Consider the following 20,162-nt stretch of genomic DNA (forward strand, 5'->3'; position numbering starts at 1 on the left):
CCTTGGAGTCATCCTTGATTGCTCTCTCTCTCACACACTCTGTATTCAGTGTCAGCAGGTCCTGTTGGCTTTCCCATCACATTATATCCAGAGACTGACCACCTCTCCCTGCCTCCACAGCTGCCACTTTGTGAGAGCCTCCACCATCCCTCGCTGGTATCACTGCTATAAGCTCCTCCTCCCTCGCTTCTGCCTTGGCTTCCTAGCATCTCTTCTCAATGCATCAGCCAGCATGATCACAGTTAGTGTGTCACATCTTTGTCACTTTGCTCAAAGTGTTGCAGAGGGTCCCATTCTCTCAGAGACAAAAGTCTTCTAGTGATCAATAAGGCCCCACATTGTCAGACACCCTGTTTTCTTTCCCTGCTGCATCCTGTTGCTCACCCTGCGGCAGGACTGTAGTCCCCTGGCCGGTCCTTGAACATGCCAGGCACGCCCCAGCCTTCCTCAGCACCGGTTGTGAGGCGGAGGGACCCAACTTCAGACCAGACTGAAGACTGGCCAAAACTGGAAAGAGGCATGGAAAACACCTCTCTGTAAGACACGCCCACCAGCCCCAAGACAATTTGGCAACACCTGGAAGTTACCGCCCTTTTTCTAGCTAATTCTGAATAACTGCCCCTTAATTAGCATGTCATTCAAAGTGGGTATAAATACGACTGCAAAACTGTCCCTGGGCTGCTCCTCTCCACACTCTTCCTGTGGGGTAACCCTGCTGTGGAGCAATCGCAGAGCTGTAACGCTGCTGCCTCAATAAAGTTGTTTTCTTCCACCACCAGCTCGCTCTTTAATTCCTTCCTGAGCAAAGCCAAGAACCTGCCCTGCATCCATTGTTCCCTCTTCTTGGCTGGCTCTTCACCCAGATATCTGTGTGGTTGACACCCTCATGTCCTTCAATGTTAGTTCAAACGCCACTTTCTCAATGAGGCCCTCCCTAACCCTAACCCTATTTACAATTAAAACCCCTCCTGCAACTCCCTTTCCTCTTAACCTGTGGTACTTTCCCCATAGCATTTATCACCTTCTAAAGTACTATATAATTTACTTATTTGTTATGTTTATTGTTCATCGACTGTCTTCCCCCTCCTGCCCACACCCACCCATCACCCCAGGGCAGGAATCTTGGACAGACATCTCTGTTATCTTTTTTTTTTTTTGATGGGAGTCTCGCTCTGTCACCCTGGCTGGGGTGCAGTGGCAGATCTCGGCTCACTGCAACCTCCACCTCCTGGGTTAAAGCAATTCTCGTGCCTCAGCCTCCTGAGTAGCTGGCTAATTTTTTTTTTTTTTTCGGTATTTTTTTGTAGAGATGGGGTTTCACCACGTTAGCCAGGCTGGGCTGACTGCCTCAGCCTCCCAAAGTGCTGGGATTACAGGCATGAGCCACTGTGCCCGGCCCAGACGTCTGAGTTATCCGACATTAATCTTGAACAAGCTGGAACATAATAGGTGCTCAACAGGTGTTTATTGAAGGAAGCTAATAGGTCTGAATCTGTGCCCTGTAAATACAGGTTAGTCCTTCTAGTCAAGTGTGTGTGGGACTCAAAGAAAGAATCAATTAAAAAAAAAGTAGAAATAGTACCGATTTGGTTTATAACACAATAAGAAACAGTAAAAACTAATGAAGTAAGAAAGGCAATCCCCCAACCTCTTGGAAAAATAATTCTAAACAACTCTCATATAAATGTGGACTTTTTAATACTGCAGAATATTGAAAGCATAATAATGAAAACAACATTTCACTCTCACAGGTTATGAATTAAACTGTGCTCCACTGAACACAAAATCTGCCTCCTGTTTTGCTCCTTTTGCCATACTTGCTTTGTTTTCATTCTGGTCTTGGGTATGGGCTCAAATAAAGGTCTAAGGGAGGGGGCTTGCCAATTCCCAGAACTACTGAGCAGCTGCCTTAAGTCTGCCAAAGATGTCACTGGGTTCCCACCACAGGTGTTGTGTCCCCCCACTACCAGTGTCCCTCCATCCACCCCTAACTCCTTGTCCCTGAGTGGTAGGTGGGAGATCCTCTCTGGCCTGGCTCACAGCTTGCCTGTTTATCTGGCTCTGGCCCAAGGCAGACCTTGGGTTGGGTGGATTTCCCCCAGTTCTTTAAGGAGGTAGTGGAGGGTGAAGGAACCTGGCTGTGTAATGGAAGAGAGGAAACACCTGAGGTGGAAACCCAGCGAGATTCACCATTCCCAAATTTGGGGGATTTCTGGCTCAGCACCCAGTAGAACTTGGTGCAGTTGCAAAAGCACTGGCCAGTTCACCTCCAGTCATGGTTGCAGTACTTCCAAAATTCTCAGCAAGGCCCAATCTCTGAGCAGCTAGTCCAGGAATTTCCCCAGGTGTTAACACCACCTTCCCTTACACATGTCATTCTGAGTGACTGTTCCCAGACACTAAGCTGTTAGGAGTCGGCTCAACTATGCACAGGGAAGGCACTGGTCTTGGAGCTGGTACTTTTCATCCACTCTTCCTGCTCTCCTTGAACATTTGAATACAAACCTGGTTCCAAATGCCATCTCACCACCACGTGCTCTCCTGTTTGCTTCCCTGGATCTGATTCTTGATTACCTTGATTTTCTCTTTTTCCACTCAAATCAACTCCCACAGCACTGAGGTTCTTGTGGACCTTGGACCTCTCAAGGATTTGAGCATGGGGCAGGGACATTCCTGGTCCTGCAGGCTCTCAGCTTGCTTCCCTGGCCTGTCCCGCAATCCCTACCCATCCACCAGGAGGCCTGGCTTCCACTTCCTTCAGCTTCTCCCTGCCCAAGGCCTGCCCTTGTGCCGGCAGACATCTCCCACCTCCTTCCCAGTCTTCCAGGATCTCCTTAATCCAATTTGTGTGTCTATCTCTTAGTTGCCCAGGCCTGTAAAACAAACTCCCACAAACTCGGTGGTTTAAAATAACACACATTTATTATCTTACAGCTCTGGAGGTCAGAAATCCAAAAATCAGTTTTGCTGTGTGCGGATCAAGGTATAGGCAGGGCCGCACTCCCTCTGGAGTTTGTGATTACATTTAGGGCCTACCTGGATAATCCAGGATAATCTCCCTATCCCAAATTCCTTGATTTGATCATATCTGCAAAGTCCTTCTGTCACAGAAGGTTACCTTCACAGGTTGCAGGGATTAGGAAGTAGGTATCTTTGGGATATTCAGTCTACCATAGTCTCCATGGCTGTAGCTTCTCTGAAGGGTGTTTGATCCTTAAGGAGGCAAGTTTTTCTTGCCCTGATACCTGCCCTACATCTCCCACGAGTCCCCAGTTGTTCAAGCCTAGGGGTTCACAGTGCAGGCAGTGCCACTTGTGGGTGGAACCTGGTCTCAGGCTGGTTGACGTCGTCCTGTCATCTCTGCTGTATCCCATTCAAGGAACTTTCCTTCCTCCAGCGAGAAGGAAACCCAGTGAGATTCACCACTCCCAACTATGACGGAGCTCTGGCTCCGTGGTGAGTTGAACTTGGTACATTGTTCTTCATCCAGAAAGCCTATCACTGAGATGACAAGTATTGCCAAGGAAGAAAGATTTAATCAGGTGCTTGCAAACACTGCCTCCTTGCAAACACTGCCCGCTGCCTGGTGCAGGGGGGAGCACCACTCCCCAACAGTCCTCTTCTGCCCTGAAACCTCATGCAAGGACCTCCCCGAGCAGGGGTGGGGGACCACCCTTCCTCATCAATTCAGACTGTAAAGTGAAACCCCTGTTCTTGGTTGAAGCGTCCATTCTTTCATGCGCGTCCGTGTGAAGAGACCACCAAACAGGCTTTGTGTGAGCAACATGGCTGTTTATTTCACCTGGGTGCAGGTGGGCTGAGTCTGAAAAGAGAGTCAGCAAAGGGTGGTGGATTATCATTAGTTCTTATAGGCTTTGGGATAGGCAGTGAAGTTAAGAGCAATGTTTTGCGGGCAGGGGTGGATCTCACAAAGTACATTCTCAAGAGTGGGGAGAATTACAAAGAATCTTCTTAAGGGTGGGGGAGATTACAAAGTACATTGATCAGTTAGGGTGGGGCAGGAACAAATCACAATGGTGGAATGTCATCAGTTAAGGCTATTTTTTCTTCTTTGGTGTATCTTCAGTTACTTCAGGCCATCTGGATGTACACGTGCAAGTCACAGGGGATGCGATGGCTTGGCTTGGGCTCAGAGGCCTGGCACATTCAGGAACCTTCCCTGCTCTGAGAGGATCCCTGCTGTCACCACACTTGGCCCTCTGCTGTCCTTGTCTGGCTGAGAAGACATTCCAACTCGCTGAGGGTTGGGCGGGACTCTCACCCAGCTGTGGCACCCTTCTGCTCGCAGGTGCCCTGCTAACAGCTCCTGGCTCAAGTCTAGTAGTGTTTTGAGTCTAGAGGTGATTTGCTTTGGGCATGGCTGGGCTCCACTTATCAGTTCCGAGGTCTCCTCATGGGTGCCTCCTCTCAGCCTCCCTCCTTCCCTCCCTTTCTACCCAATTCCAGTCCTCCGCTGCCTGTGGCATGGCCAGCACAAGGCGTGTCCTCATGTCTGAGGCTGGTGTTGTCTTGGGAGCATAGCAGTGGATGTTTGTATACTTCAGAGCAGACCATCTATGGGACAAATCCATCTCTCTCATGTCCTCTTATAGCATAATTACATGTTTTGTGCCAAGTATCCTCTCTCAAAAAGCCTGAGTGAGAAGGAAACAGAAGGAGGTCCTGCAAGCCCATCCCCTGTCAACCTATGTGCCCCTCAGTCCAACTGCTTTAGAGGCGCCCTCCTTCCCCAGGGAAGGGGTGGTATCACGTGTTATTCCCACAAGTCAATGAGCTGTTGCTGTCTTCTGTTCATATAGGAAATCGGAGACTCAGAGAAGTTCAGGAACCTGCTCTGGGTGGCCCAGTGGGTGGGTGACAGAGCTCAGATCTGAGAGGTCCATTTGCTCCTCACCACACCAGTCTTTGTGAAGTGAGAGTAGGTGCGGTGGAGAGACACAAAGACATGACAGCAAAAAGGCCACAATCCCAAAAGCACTGTCCCAGAGGGTTGTAGGAGTTATTAAGAAATTATTTTAGGCAGATTGAGAGGAAAAATGGTCCTTGGGAAGTTTTCGTTTTCTTTTTCTTTAATTAATTAATTAATTAATTTATTTATTTTTTACTTTAAGTTTTAGGGTACATGTGCACAACGTGCAGGTTAGTTACATATGTATACATGTACCATGTTGGTGTGCTGCGCCCATTAACTCGTCATTTAACATTAGGTATATCTCCTAATGCTATCCCTCCCCCTCCACCCCCCCCCCACCCCAAACCATCATTCTCAGTTTTCGTTTTTTAAAGCATCTCCAGAAACCTTTCTTGTAAAGCCCCTGCTCTTAGAGCCGAGATGGCAACTTTTGATATGCAAATGCAGGCCATTAGAAACTGGGTCCACCCAAACATGACGATTCCTGCCGCCTTCTTCTTGCCCTTGGCCCACACTTGCCTGGCAACATGGCCACCCATACATATCCCTCCCTACATGTGTAAAACATCATGGCACCCTGCATTTGCATATTAAAAGGCTAGGGTGAGAGGGCCAGTTTTTTCGTGGGCTACATGAATGACATGCCTGGTTAAACCAATCCCTATGCAAATGAGCCCTATGCAAATCAGACACTGCCTCCTCCAGCCTCTATATATAGCTGGCTGGTTTCTACCCCACTTGGGGTTCCTGCTCTAGGCTTTGGAGCCTCCCCACCCCGTTCTCTGTACAGGGAAGCTTCTTCTTTCTTCCCCCTTCTTTCTTGCCTATTAAACTCTCTGCTCCTTAAAACAACTCCACCAGGGCCCGGCGTGTGGCTCACGCCTGTAATCCCAGCACTTTGAGAGGCTGAGGCAGGCAGATTATGAGGTCAGGAGGTCGAGACCATCCTGGCTAACACAGTGAAACCCCGTTTCTACTAAAAATACAAAAAATTAGCTGGGTATGGTGGTGGGTGCCTGTAGTCCCAGCTACTGGGGAGGCTAAGGCAGGAGAATGGTGTGAACCCGGGAAGTGGGGCTTGCAGTGAGCCGAGATCACGCCAGTGCACTCCAGCCTGGGCGACAGAGCAAGACTTTGTCTCAACCAAAAAATAAATAAATAAATAAATAAATAAAAAAGAAAAAAAAGAAAGAAAAAGAAAAAAAAACAACTTCACGTGTGTCCCTGTTGCTTTTTCCAATTCCACTCAAGAGGAAAAACCTGGAGTTCCTCCACGCATTGGAGCCATATCAAGAGGACAAACCTCTCTCTTTCTGGAGTGGAGGCAGGAGAGAGACCCACAGGGCAGTGGCAGGTCTGAGGGGTCCCTGAGTCTCCATCATTTTGTGAGGTTCCATCAAAAGCCTGTATGAGTTAGGGCTCTTTCAATCGCAAATGATAACAAACCTACTAGGGCTGCCTTAGGTCATAAAAGGGCCTAGACAGGCTTAAGTAGCCAGAAACCCACCCACCCCCACCCCACACCCCACCCCCACTCCCTCACCCCCACCCCCCACCCCAAGGGAGATGCAGTAGGCAGAATCAGAGCGATGATGACAGGGGCGGGAATGAAATGGGGAGGGCCCTGATGGATATGCAGCAGGGGAATCGGATGCACCTGTGCCTGGATTGGGGGGGAAGGAGAGTGGTTGTTAAGGTGATTAACATGTTCTCAGCTTGGGCAGTTGGGTGGAGATTGGGTGGAGATGGGGGCATCTCCAGATGAGACCCTGGGAAAAGGTCTTAGATGGGGCTGTGTGGACTGGATGAGCTCAGGTTGACCCATGTTGACTATAAGGAGCTCATGGGACCCCCAGGGGGAGATGTCCAGTGACATCTGGTGTATGCACCTGCAGCTCTTGGGAGGGGCTGTGCTGGGACCCTGGATCGGAGAGTCATCCAAAGAAAATGGAAAGAAATGACCCATTTGGTGACGTTTAAGCACCCAGAAAGCAGCAGAGAAGGAACAATCAGGAAGGTGGGAGTGGAACGGGAGAGAGCTGTGTCATGGGCATCAGCAGGTAGAGGGGTTAGAGCAGCCAGGGGTGGTTACTAACGTGAGAAATAGCAGCGTGATCCCTGTGATAATGATGGAAAGGAACTCCTGGAGGGAGAGACCTGGGCCCAATAGGAACCTGGGGGAGTGCACATTTCATGGAGTGGTGAGGATGAAGCCAGACTGCTGTGAATCAGGGGTGATGGGAAGCTGAGGAAAGAGAGGCAGTGAATGCAGATAATTTGTTTTTAGAGAGTTTGATTGTGAAGGGGAGAAGAGAGACATTGGGGGCTTGCTGGAGGAGCTGCTCAGTCTGAGGCTGATGATCTAGAGTCTAGGATGAAGCTCTGAGCTAAGCCTTACGGGTCTGCTCCCTGACCTCCAGGGCCTCCTCCATCAGGGTGAGGCTCCCCTAGTTCAGCGGCTGTGTTCCCTTAGGGTGTGGAGCGTGTCTTCTATCAGATCAAGAGCTCCTTCTGAGCAGCAGGTGCCTCCCATTGGATTGGGAGCTCCCCAAAAGTTGCAGTTGTGTCTCCACCATCAGGCTTGGAGACTCCTGGTGAAAGACCATGTCTCCTCCAGTGGACTGAGAGTTCCTGGAGGGCAGAGGCTGGGTCTCCCTCATCAGACTGAGAGCTCCCTGAAGCCAGGGACTGTGTTGCCCTCCACTTGGTTAGGAGGTTCTGAGGGGAGGTACTGGGTGTACCCACGGGTCTAGGAGCCTGAGAGGTGAGGGGTGAGTTTCCTCCATCCTCTGTCCCTCCTCATGGTGTCCAGCAATAAAAACTGACCAGTGTCTTTCCCTCCCCACCCCCCCCCCCCCGATATCTGTTTCCTCTGGTTTCAGACAGAGGCGACTTCTGCCAGGAGGCAGCCTGCGATTGTGACAGAGAGGCTGCCCACTGTTCCTTTGACAACCTCGGCACCTACAATAAAACCATGTGCAACTACCCCAGTTTCTTATGTGAAAACTGGTTCCTCAGTGCTGAGTGCCACCCCTTCTCTCTAGCCTTGTCTGGGACAGAGGCTTTCTTTCCTCCACCTGCACCATAAACCCTTTCTGCCCCCAGCCTCTCCATGCAGGAGTAGGATGTGGTCCCACCAAAGAACAGAATGGCCAAAGCCAGGCTGAACCCCTATTCCCTGTCCCAGGGGTTTGGCTCCTCAGTGGTGGCTGGGGTGTGTGAGGCTCTCTGGATGGGGTCTCAGTCCTCCTTCTGCTTCTAGGTCCACTCCCTTAGTCGTGTTGCACTTGTCTTTGAAATAAACCAACTCCATTGCTAATTGTGTAAGGGCATGGGAATGTGTGATAGGCGTGTCGAGTGCACGCGTTTCTGGATAGGGGGCATGTTCATTCACTTATTCACTTATTTATCTCACAAATACTTATTCAAGAACCTACTGCATGGCTGGCTCTGTTCTGGGGTTTCAGGATCCAGTGGGGAGCAAGACAGCCAGGAAGAGAACTCATTGTTGCCCGCTTCACTCCAGCCACTCTGGCCTTCTTGCTGCTCCTGGAATGAGATGAGTCTGTTCCAATCTCAAAGCCTAAAAGGTTATTTCACAATGGCTTTTTTCTCTTCTCTCAGTTTCCAGCTGAAATGTCACCTCCCCAGGGAGCCCTTCCATGGCGCCCAAGTTAGAGCAGCTCTTCCCTCCTCCCTTTACCCTTTCCCGCATCATCCTGTTTGTTTCCGTCTTGGCAGTTGTCACAGTCCCAAGTAACCTACTTATTTCAGTGTTTTATTTTTTGGTTAACTAAAGGAAGGGTGAAAAGTGGAGATCTATAGGCTTCTTGGGTAGGGAGCTAAAAGATTTTCCTTCTTTTTCCATTCATCTACTTGCTTTCCCCCAAGAGATGATGTGTGAGTTTGGATCCTCTGGAAGCAGATGCCGAGATACAGTTCGAAGTGCAGGAGATGTATGGAGGGAAGCAGCTCTAAAAGATAAAGGAGGCAGGGAGGAGTAGGGAGAGAGAGTGTTCAGATCAGGAAGCAGGTCTGACACCTCTGAAGGGAGAGAGGAAAGGAAGGAGGATTGGGTAGGAAGAGGCTCAAACTGTGGCACAGCTCTGAGAATGTCTCAGCAATCTGACGGGGAGTTCTCATGTGAACAGTGCCCATTAGAGGAGTCCTCCATTGGGAAACAATTGCCTGGCTCTAGTCCCCTGTCATCACCATCATGGGAACGGCACTGGAGAACATGGCTTTGTCATGAGTACTGTGGCAGATCCCAAAGGAGCATGGGCTTGGGGCTGTCCACTAAGTACACTCCTTGAACAGGTTCTCATTTGAAGGGAGAGCTGAGTGGTGCCGTCCAAGGTTGTCACAGAAAGAGTTACTTCGGATTGGTTGGACTTGAGGATACTGATTGAGCCTTTTTTTTTCCCCTGGTGGATGGGTCATTGTGCATTAAAAGGTAAAGCACAGATGGTGGAGCAACTGGAACTCTCACACCTTACTGGTGGGAATGTAAAATGGGACAAGCACTTTGGAAAGAAGTTTGATCTGACTTTGTAACATTAAACATACCCTTATCCATTGAGTAAACATTTCCAGTCCTAGGTATTTATTCAAGAGAAATGAGAACTTAATGTTCACACAGATACTTGTATAAGAAATGGTCATAGCAGTTTTATTCAAAATATCCCAATACTGAAAAGAGCAAAAATGTTCATTACCAGGAGAATGAATAAATAAATTGTAACATATGCATGCTATGGAAGGCTACTCAGCAATAAAGAAGAACAGATTACAGACATGTGCAACACCATGAATGGATCTCATCATCATTATACTGAATGGAAGAGGCCAGATGTAAAACAGTACACATACGGGAGGTGGAGATCACGCCACTACATTCTAACCTGGGCAACAGAGTGGGACCTTGTCAAAAAAAAAAAAGTGCACCTAATATATGATTCAATTGATAGAAAGTTCTAAAACAGGCAACTAAGGTGAAAATAATCACAATGATGGTTTCTCCATGTTATAAGCTGAATTGTGATTCCCCAAAATCCGTATGTTGAAGTCCTAACCTCCAGTACTTCAGAATCTGACTGTGTTTGGAGACCAGCCCTTGAAAGCGGTGATTAGGTTAAAGTGAGGTCATTAGGGTGGGTCCTGATGCAGCATGATTGGTGTCCTTAAAACAAGAGGAGGTTAGGACACGGACACCTGAGAGAGAAGACCATGTGAAGACACAAGGTAAGACAGCATCTGTATGCCAAGGAGAGAGGCCTCAGAAGAGACCAACCTGCCAATGGCTTGATCTGAGCTTTCTAGTTTCCAGGATTGTGAGAAAATAAATCGCTATCGTTTAAGCTCCCCCAGTCTGTGGGACTTTGTTATGGTAGTGCAAGACGACTAATTCATCCAGAGAGGGGGTTGAGGGGAAAGGGATGTGAGGGAATTTTCTGGGAGACGGAAATGTTCTCGTGATGGGATGTGGGTGATGTGGGTGTATCCGTTTCTCAAACGTGTTCAGCTGTGATTTGTGCTTTTCAATCTATATATATTTTACCTTTAAGAAAGAACTAAAGGTAATGATGATGATGATGATTCATTGGAGGTGCAGAGTGGTTGGAGGTGTAAATGATAAAAGAAGGCTGAATGTTGATAAGTGTTGAAGCTGGTTGATGGATACAGGTGAGTTCACAATGTGATTTTGTTACTTTGTACATGTTGGAAATTTTTGCAAATTGAAAGTTCAAGCCCATGGGAGTGAAGCTTTCTTCTCTCTTCCTTTTTTTTTTTTTTTTTTTTTTTTTTTTTTTTTTTTTTTTTTGAGATGGAGTCTCGCTCTGTCGCCCAGGCTGAAGTGCACTGGCATGATCTTGGCTCACTGCAACCTCCGCCTCCTGGGTTCAAGCAATTTCTCTTGCCTCAGCCTCCATAGTAGCTGGGACTACAGGTGTCCACCACCACACCAGGCTAATTTTTGTACTTTTAGTAGAGACAGGGTTTCACCATATTGGCCAGGCTGGTCTCGAACTCCTGACCTTGTGATCTGCCCGCCTCGGCCTCCCAAAGTGCTGGGATTACAGGCGTGAGCCACCATGCCCGGCTTCTCTTTTCCTAGCTGGTGGGGGACTTCCTGGCTCTGTCTTCTGTCCATGCACTTGGATAGTAGGGTGTGGAAAGATTCTGAGATTTCAGGGTTTCACAGAGGTAGTGTAGCACTGGAATTAGGTGCTAGTATTTGGAGCTCTGGGGTAAAGTCCCAACTACCATTAACTAGGTAAGAGTTTGTGTTAATTATTTGATCTTTCCTAACCTCTGTTTTTTCATTTATACAAGGAAGTTACTAATAGCTACTTCATCAGGGCGGTTGAAAAATATTAAATGTAAAAATGTATACAAATCAATTTGGACACTTTTATTTTATTTTATTTTTATTATTATTATTTGAGATGGATTTTCGCTCTTGTTGCCCAGGCTTTGAGTGCAATGGTGTGATCTCAGCTCACTGCAACTTCCACCTCCTGGGTTCAAATGATTCTGCTGCCTCAGTCTCCCAAGTAGTTGGGATTACAGGTGTGCACCATCACGTCCGGCTAATTTTTGTATTTTTAGTAGAGACAGGGTTTCACCATGTTGGCCAGGTTGGTCTTGAACCCCTGACCTCAGGTGATCCACCCACCTCAGCCTCCCAAAGTGCTGGAATTACATGAGTGAGCCACCATGGCTGGCCTGGACACTTTTAATATTAAGCAACTGAAGACCTGACTCAAATTGGTGTAAATAATAAAAGAAATTTATTGACATGTGTAACGGAAATGACTGGAGGCTTTCTGGTATGGTTTGATCCAGAGGCACCTGTTTCCTCCTCCTCCTTCTCTTCCTTTTCTTTCTCTTTCCCAAAGCTTCCAGCTAGCTGAGCATATATTTACATATTTTATTCCAGACTCCTAGAATTGGTTTTTTTGTTTTGTCTTTTTGTAATCTGCCTGAGAAGAGATCTCACACACAAGCTGCATTAAACATCCTAGATTTCCACATTTTCTACACTCTCCTGCCTGCTAACTGCACCTTCTTTTGGTTTCTTATTTCTGTTCTGCAGTACAATTTTCTACTTTCTGTCCTCAAATATGTCAGGCTCAGACCTGCCTCTGTATGCTTGCCTTAGCTGTTCCCTCTGCCTGGATCAATTTTCTCCTTGATTATCTTAGGGCTGACTCCTTCATATCATGGGTGATCTTGCTTCCAGTGCCTTTTGCTATCTCTGCAGCACCTTTCCTGATCATGCCATCTGAATACATGCCTTGTCTTCCACCTGCCCTCTCCTATTCTGCTGTTTTGATTCTCTTTATATTACTTATTACTGTCTCTTTTCTCTCTCGAAATTTGTTTATTGGCTGCGTCTGTTCCTGTCAGTGCCTTGTAAGTGCCAAGAGGCAGGGGCCTTGCCTGTTTGGGTTTTGGGGTGTTCTTAGTGCCTGGTTCTGTGCCAGAAATGTTGCATGTACTCAATAGATGTCCTGTGGAATGAATGAATGGAAGATATGAATAGCAATATTATCATAGAATTGTTAAGAGGATTGCATGAGAAGACACGTTTAAAGTGCTTGGCCCAGGACCTGCCATGAAGTCAGTGTCCATTTTCCAGTAAGTGGGAGTAGTCAAGGCATGCTTTTGCTGCTGTTGTCATCATGTTGTCCCGTCCTGGCTATGGAGTGCCTTTCTCCACCGTGCTCTCATTTGGATGAAAGTTACTCCCAGGTCATGACCCACATGAGGAGTGGGAACATCCCTCGGTCGGCCAGCTGGTTCTTTCATCCATCCATGCTGCATAAAGTGGTTGACGTAATTTATTCCCTCCAGGGAATGGAATTCATCCATAGCTTTGCCCTTGAAAAGTCCCCTGGGTTGGGTTTCATCAGCACGTGGGAAGCTCAGACGGTCTGGGTTTTGGTTTCCAAGGTCTTCAGAGACCAATAACAGCCCAGCGCCTCGCTGGCCAAATAAAAGAGTTGGAAATCAAACTAAAGATGTGCTTGTGGAAAGTGACTACAGAAAAGGTCATGTTTTCTCAAGACATAGCCTTTCTCCGGGAAGCCATTCTTGAGCTAAGACAAGCAGCAGCACCATCCTTGGGCCTGGGAACCAGGACGTCTCCCCTAGAGTGAGGACTCCTAGGCCAAGGGATGTGCCTGCTGGAGCCCTTGGTCTCCCTTCTAAACCATGATCTGAGTGTCTGCGACTCTGGGATTTCTTGCTCAAGTGACCCTGAATCACTTCCAGAATCTATCTGGGTTGCCTGCCTAGGTTTATCCTATTGAGTGAAGGTGATGTTTGCTACAGGAGCAAGAAATAAGCTATAGTGCTGATGGAGGGGGAAGGACATCTGAAATGAGTGGAGAGGAAGGGGATGATGCGTATTGTTAAGACCGTGGAGGCAGCTGTAGCAGCAGGGACTGCAGCTCCTTCCCTTCCCTTCCCTTCTACATTCAAGTCCTTCAGGCCATCTGGACCAGATGTTGAAGAGGACTCTGTGATCCCTCAGCCTTGCACTCTAGGGTGAAGTGAGGGCACGCGCTATCACAGGATGGTAGAGGGCCCAGGTAGTGGTGTGGGAACCAGGCACAGTGGAAGGGCATGGGAGGATCTGACAGGCTCATGGGGTAGTCTTTGTGGGGTGTAGGATGTGCCTATTAGATTCTTTTTTTTTTTTTTTTTTTTTTGGAGACTGAGTCTCATTCTGTCACCCAGGCTGGAGGGCAGTGGCACGATCTTGGCTCACTGCAACCACCACCTCCTGGGTTCAAGAGATTCTCCTGCCTCAGCCTCCCGAGCAGCTGGGATTACAGGGGCGCACCACCACACCTGGCTAATTTTTGTATTTTTAGTAAGAGATGGGGTTTCACCATATTGGCCAGGCCAGGATCCTGACCTCGTGATCCATCTGCCTTGGCCTCCCAAAGTGCTGGGATTACAGGTGTGAGCCACTGTGCCCAGACCAGTTTCTTTTAACCTCACAATCTCAGCATCCTGCTGTGCCCTAGGCCAGTCCTGGGGCTAAAAGTGAACCAGGCTTGGTTTCTAGTCTACCATTCACTCATTCATTGACTTGGTTAGTCTCCTATTCCATCATCTACAGAAGACATTTGCTCTCAAAGAACCATCTCTCTGCCACCTGGTATGGACCTGGCTTGATTTCCCTAGTAACTAGGCAGGATGTGCTAGTTATCTCCATCTTAAAACTGAGGACAAAAGTGAAATATAAGTGATTTTTGGATTATCTGTGATCATCATTCATCCAGCCAAGCTAAGGCAATAATTGAGAAATGGGTATTTCATTCTGGTCCAATGGTATAAACTAGGACCCAGAGGTGCAACTGGCTGGCCTGTCAGCTGACTGTCAAGGTGGAAAGACCAGATCTTAGATGGAGACAGCTGTGGGTTTGAGTCTTCACTCTCTCTCTTACACACATGAGACATGATACACTCTCACGCTGTCTCTTACATACTGCTTATGTATCATGCATTGATAGGGTACATTTCCAGAGGTGGTTTGCTGAGTGAAAGGATAAGTGCTTTTATAACTGACCAAGCCTTAATCTGTGTGCACCACGGCTTCACTTCATCACGCTCTGTTATTGTTGGTTTCTGCAAGGTACCAATTTTATTTTATTCACTTTAGTCCTTGATCTTCCATCTCCACTACCAATTTATTCTTCCTATGTTTATTTAGATATATGGTTTCTTGAAAAATGTTTAGTGTTTGTTTGACTCTCTGTGGAGGCTTTTAAACTGGTACACAGATATTGTGCTATACATTTCCCTGTTTTCTGCCAAGTTTGCAAATTAGCATAGGCTCCGGCTCCCTGTGCCAAAACCAGCCTAATAGATACATGCCTGAGAGAGAATCTTGGATGATGAAATAGCAGAAGAACCTCTGCAGAGTCTTGCAGGAAGTTAGAATCTGATCTTGGCTGCTGGGTGTGGTTCTCGGGGAGAGGGGTTGGCTGTGCCTTGGAGCAGTGGATTGGTGGGCTTTGGCAAGCAGCAAGTAGGTTGGGAGGAAGCTCTTTAAGTTTTGTTCTTTTTCTCCTTTTGCGTCTTCATCTTAGAGCAACAGCTGAAATGCCCAAGTCCTAGAGATGATGTTAGGGCTGTCCCAAAGCCCTGCTTGGGTAAGCAATTGACCCAGATGGATGCAGGCTTCTCAAGTGCCCTCAGCCATTCATTCCCTCATCTCATCCTGCACTGTTCCCCCTTCCGCCCTGCCCCATCTCAGGGAGGGCCGGTAACAGCTTTGGAGTGCTGCTTCCTGCCAGGGCTGCTGCTTCCCAGATGTTCAATGATGAAACCCTGTCAGCAGGAGCACCTGCCTGGGGTGGCAGCAAATGAGAATCATCATATCTTGGACTCATCCCCTTCCCCTTCCCCAAGTTTATCTTGAGACACCCAGACTACACCCACTAGAAAGATGAAATGTACTTGTCAACACATACCATCTAAAACAGAATTGCCAGAGTGGATGAGCAAGAAACTAAAATATGCGTGTTAAACATACTTATGTAGATAAGGGAAGATGTTAGCAATATCAGGCAAGAACAAATCATTATTTAAAAAAATCCCAAGTATAAAAGTTACTTAGGAAGAGTATAATCATTGAAATGGAATAGCTAGCTGAAGAATGTCACAGATAGAGTTAGAAGCTTAGATTGAGATGTCTTCTTAGGGAAAAAGAATAAAAAGAAAATAGAGAAAATAGCAAGGAAAATTCAAACCAGATGCAGTGGTGTGTGCCTGTAGTCCCAGCCACTTGGGAGGCTGATGCAGGAGCATTGCTTGAGCCCAGGAGTTTTGGGCTATAATGCGCTGTGCAGATCGGGTGTTCCGCACTAAGTTGGGCATCAATATGATGACTTCGCGGGAGTGGGAGACCACCAAGTGGCATAAAGAGGGGTGAACTGGCCAAGGTTGGAAATGGAGCAGGTCGAAACTCCCGGTGCTAATCAGTAGTGGGATCACACCTGTGAATAGCTGCGGCACTCCAGCCTGGGCAACATAGGGAGACTCTATCTCTTTTTTTTTGTTGTTTTTGTTTTTTGTTTTTTTTTGAGATGGAGTTTTGCTCTTGTTGCCCAGGCTGGAGTGCAATGGCACGATCTCGGCTCGCTGCAACCTCCGCCTCACGGGTTCAAGCGATTCTCCTGCCTCAGTCTCCTGAGTAGCTGGGATTATAGGCATAGGCCACCACATCCAGCTAATTTTGTATTTTTAGTAGAGACGGGGTTTTGCCATGTTGGTTAGGCTGGTCTTGAACTCCCCATCTCAGGTGATCCACCCCCCTCAGCCTCCCAAAGTGCTGGGATTACAGGCATGAGCCACCACGCTGGGTGGGAGACTCTATCTCTTAAAAAAATCCAAAGAGATATGGAGTACAGATGTACTAACTTCCAGATAGTAAAAGTCCCAGAAAGAGACAGGAAAAAGAGAAGGAAGGAAATGTTCAATGAAATAATGAATATAAAATTCCTATCATTAAAGACAAGTGAAAGGACTTCAGAGTACAAAAAGGCCAGATAAAGAAAAACTGTCAACTAGACACATTGCAGTGAAAATTAAGAACATCAAAGACAAAGAGAAATTCTACAGGCTTCCAGAGGGAAAGAGCAAATATCCAATCAAAGATGATGAGTCAGGTTAATATCAGACTTCTTATTAGCAATATTGGAATGGGATTGGAAGAAATGGAGGAATGCTTCTAAGGTAATAAGGAAGAATGGAAAAAAAATGAACCAAGGATATTATATCTTTCGAAATTGTTATTCAATGTGAGGTTGTAAAAAATGCTTTCAGGAATAAAAGGCCTTCAAAATTTTGCACACAAAGACTCATGTTGAAAATATTCTTAGATAAATACCCAGAAATGCAAAGTCTTTACTGGAGGGAGAGATGTATACTCTTTTCCTAGATCTTTCTTTTCCGTAGATCAAGATGGAGGTAAAGCCCCTGGCAAGCATTTGACTAAGGCTTTATTTCAAGCAGCTTTTCACCGCCTCTGTTTAGAAGCTAAAGAGGAATCACTGAGGAGTAATATGGTCCCAACCTCACCCTGGCAGTCTATGAGGGTAGCTGGAAAGAAAATGACTCTGTTTATATTGTAATAAATGGTACTTATTCTAAGTCAAAGGATGAAAACAAACTGCTAATTCTAAAATCATTAAGGTCCAGACATGGTGGCTCATACCTATAATCCCAGCACTTTGGGAGGCTGAGGCAGGAGGGTGGTTTGAGCCTAGGGGTTCAAGACCAACTTAGACAACATGGTGAGACCGCAACTCTACAAAACATTAAAAAAAACATAAAAAATTTAGCTGGGTGTGATGGCACACACCTGTAGTCCCAGCTACTCGGGAGGCTGAGGCGGGAAGATCACTTGAGCCCAGGAGATGGAGGCTGTAGTGAGTGATTGCGCCACTGCGCTCCAGCCTGGATGACAGTGTGAGACCCTGTCTCAAAAAAAAAATGATTAAGGTCATTTGTCTTTCCTCAATTCAAATTCGACCAGTATTTCCCAATTGGGGTTCATGGGGCGATGCTGGTCTGTGAACTGCTTCCCCTTCCTGGGGAGGTACATACAGAGATTGAGAATGTTAGGAAATTTCAAACAATTTGACAGAGTAATTTTATTATTGCATCCAATAATAAAACATCTGGGATTGTATTTTGTACATTTTTAATTTAACAAAAGTATTGATTTGAGACAGAGTTGGAAAAAATAAAGAATAAATTGGTCCATTACCACGAATGGTTTAAGAAGCACTGGATTATACTGGATATTGGCAAATTCTTTCGCAAAAGACCATACGTTCTCTGTGGCAATGATTCAGTTCCACTGTTGTCACGTGAAAGCCAGCATGAGAATTTACAACCCAAAGAGCATGATTGTATTTTGAGAAAACTTTATTGCCATTAAAATATGATTTTAACATATCATTTTTGTATGAGAGATTCTTCTGATTGTTTTTCAAGCATTAAAAAAACATAAAAACCATTCTTATCTTGCCTGCTGGACAAAAACAGGCAGTGCATAGATGTGGTCCACAGGCCATAGTGTGCCAACCCATGAGTTAGACCATATTGTCTCTGAGAGTTAGTTATCTGTCTTAGACGCAGGAATGTTTGTGTGTGTTTGATGATGCTAATTTTCTTTTGAATAGGAAATATATTCATAGGGTTAAAAATCAAAACAATATAAAAAGTTATGTATCAAAAAATCTTTCTGTCACCCCATCTGTGCCAGACTCATTTCTTGCCAGCCTTGTCCCCTAAAGATAGCCATTTTGATGAATTTCTTGCATGATCTTTGAGTGTTACTGGAAATATTAACACAAATATATTAACAGATGTATTTTGCTACATAATTGTGGCACACTGTTTATACTATTCTCCTCTTTGCTCTTTTCTGTTACCACCATATCCTGAAGACCTTTGTCCATTGGAGCAGAGAGAGCTTCCCTCATAATATAAATGCATTGGGTCCCTTTTTGAGTTGGTATCATTATTTATTTAACTAGTTCTCGTGACACATACTCTTGGATTATTTCCAGCTCAATTCAGAACAATGCTGCAGTGAACAAATTTGCTCATACATCACTCTGTGTGTGCACACGTGTGTGTGCGGGTGTGTGGTGTGTGCCTGCATCCATAGGGTAAATTTCCAAATGGGGTCACTGAGTGAAAGGATAAATACATTTGTAATTTTGATAGATATTGCCAATTTGCCCTCTGTGGGCATTTTGCCCTCCCACCAGCTACCTATGAAAGTGCCTGTTTCCCCATGCAGCCTCGCTAGTAGATCAAGTTGTCACACTTCTGGATTTTTTTCATTGTAATAGATAAAAATGGCATCTCAGTGGAATTTTAATGTGCATTTCTCTTGCTATGTGTGAAAGTGAACATGACCAGGGCCGCCTTCAGCAAATGAAACATTTGGTGCAGAATTAGAAAAGGTGCTTCTTCTGGGAAGACAGATTATGGGAAGGCATCTCCTCTGGGGGAATGCAGAACTTGCTGGGCTGTGCAGGGGCCTTCTCCTGTGGGAAACTCAGCTCCCACCTGTGTCCCCTGTGCAGGGTGCCTTTGTGAAGGGATCCACACCCAGCAGCCCAGATGCGTGTTATTGGAGAAACAGGTGGGGCTGTAGCTGGTCCAGGTGGGAATTTCCCAGCGGAACCCTGAACAGCAGGAGGGGAAGTAGCATCCCAGTAAAGGTGGGACCCGCTACACTATGTGTGTGACTGGGTTGGGTGCAGTGGCTCATGCCTGTAATCTTAACACTTTGGGAGGCCAAGGCAGGAGCACTGCATGAGGCCAGGAGTTTGAGATCTGCCTGGCCAACATAGCGAGACCCCATCTCTATTAAAAAATAATAAAAATAAATAAATTTGGGCAGCCCAGTGCAAAATGAAGTGTGGGAAGGAACTCTTGATTAAAGATTAGTAAGACTTTTCAGATAGCCACAGCGCAGCATTAAACCAGGCGTGGCACCCTTCCAAACACAGGATGCTATGGGACTGCAGGGGTTGCACACCTGGGAAACCAACCCTGGTGACGGGATAACACCCCCAGGGTCCAGCTGGTGGCCAGCATTATATCACCCCACATTTCCTCCTTACTAGACTGGCAACACAGGAGAAGAGCATTCCATGCGGAAGACTTGGACTACAGCTTCCCAGATTAAGACCAACCTTCCTGCTTTCTCCCAGCAGGCCAGTAGGAGCTGCTATTGCCTAGGGAAGGGGAGGGAGATGTCTGGGTTTCGCTTGTAGTAGTCATGGCAGCTATCAGACATATCAGACCCAAAGCTTTTCATTTGTCATCATTCTAATTCTCAAACATGCCCATGCAGGAGGCACCAGTGTTATCTCCATCTAGATGAAAGAACTAAGGCTTAGTGAGATGGGGGAGCGGGGATTTGACACAGCCAGTCTGACTCCAGAAGCTATTTTTTTCGTTTGTTTTGTTTTGTTTTTATAAAGATAAGGTCTCCCTGTGTTGCCCAGGCTGGCCTTGAACTTCTGTGAGCTCAAGCAATCATTGCACTTCAGCCTCAGCCTCCCGAGCAGCTGGGACAACAGGCACACAGCACTACACCAGACTCAGAGCCTGTATTTTTAACCCCTACCCCTGTTTGTTCTCATGCTAACAGTGCATAGGGCAATGCATACACACACACATA

At 46.6% G+C, this 20,162-nt stretch overlaps 1 pseudogene, besides 1 other annotated feature; it reads left to right on the forward strand.

Annotated features, from left to right (window-relative positions):
* Positions 5,428-5,527: an enhancer, noted in NCBI's record as "active region_309". NCBI's record gives its function as "activates an Ori minimal core promoter by ATAC-STARR-seq in GM12878 lymphoblastoid cells {active_cell/tissue: GM12878}" and the evidence as "EXISTENCE:reporter gene assay evidence [ECO:0000049][PMID:35858748]".
* On the forward strand, positions 15,701-16,001 carry RN7SL304P (RNA, 7SL, cytoplasmic 304, pseudogene; annotated as a pseudogene).

This window comes from Homo sapiens, chromosome 1 (genome assembly GCF_000001405.40).
Source record: "Homo sapiens chromosome 1, GRCh38.p14 Primary Assembly".
Classification (NCBI taxonomy): Eukaryota; Metazoa; Chordata; class Mammalia; order Primates; family Hominidae; genus Homo; species Homo sapiens.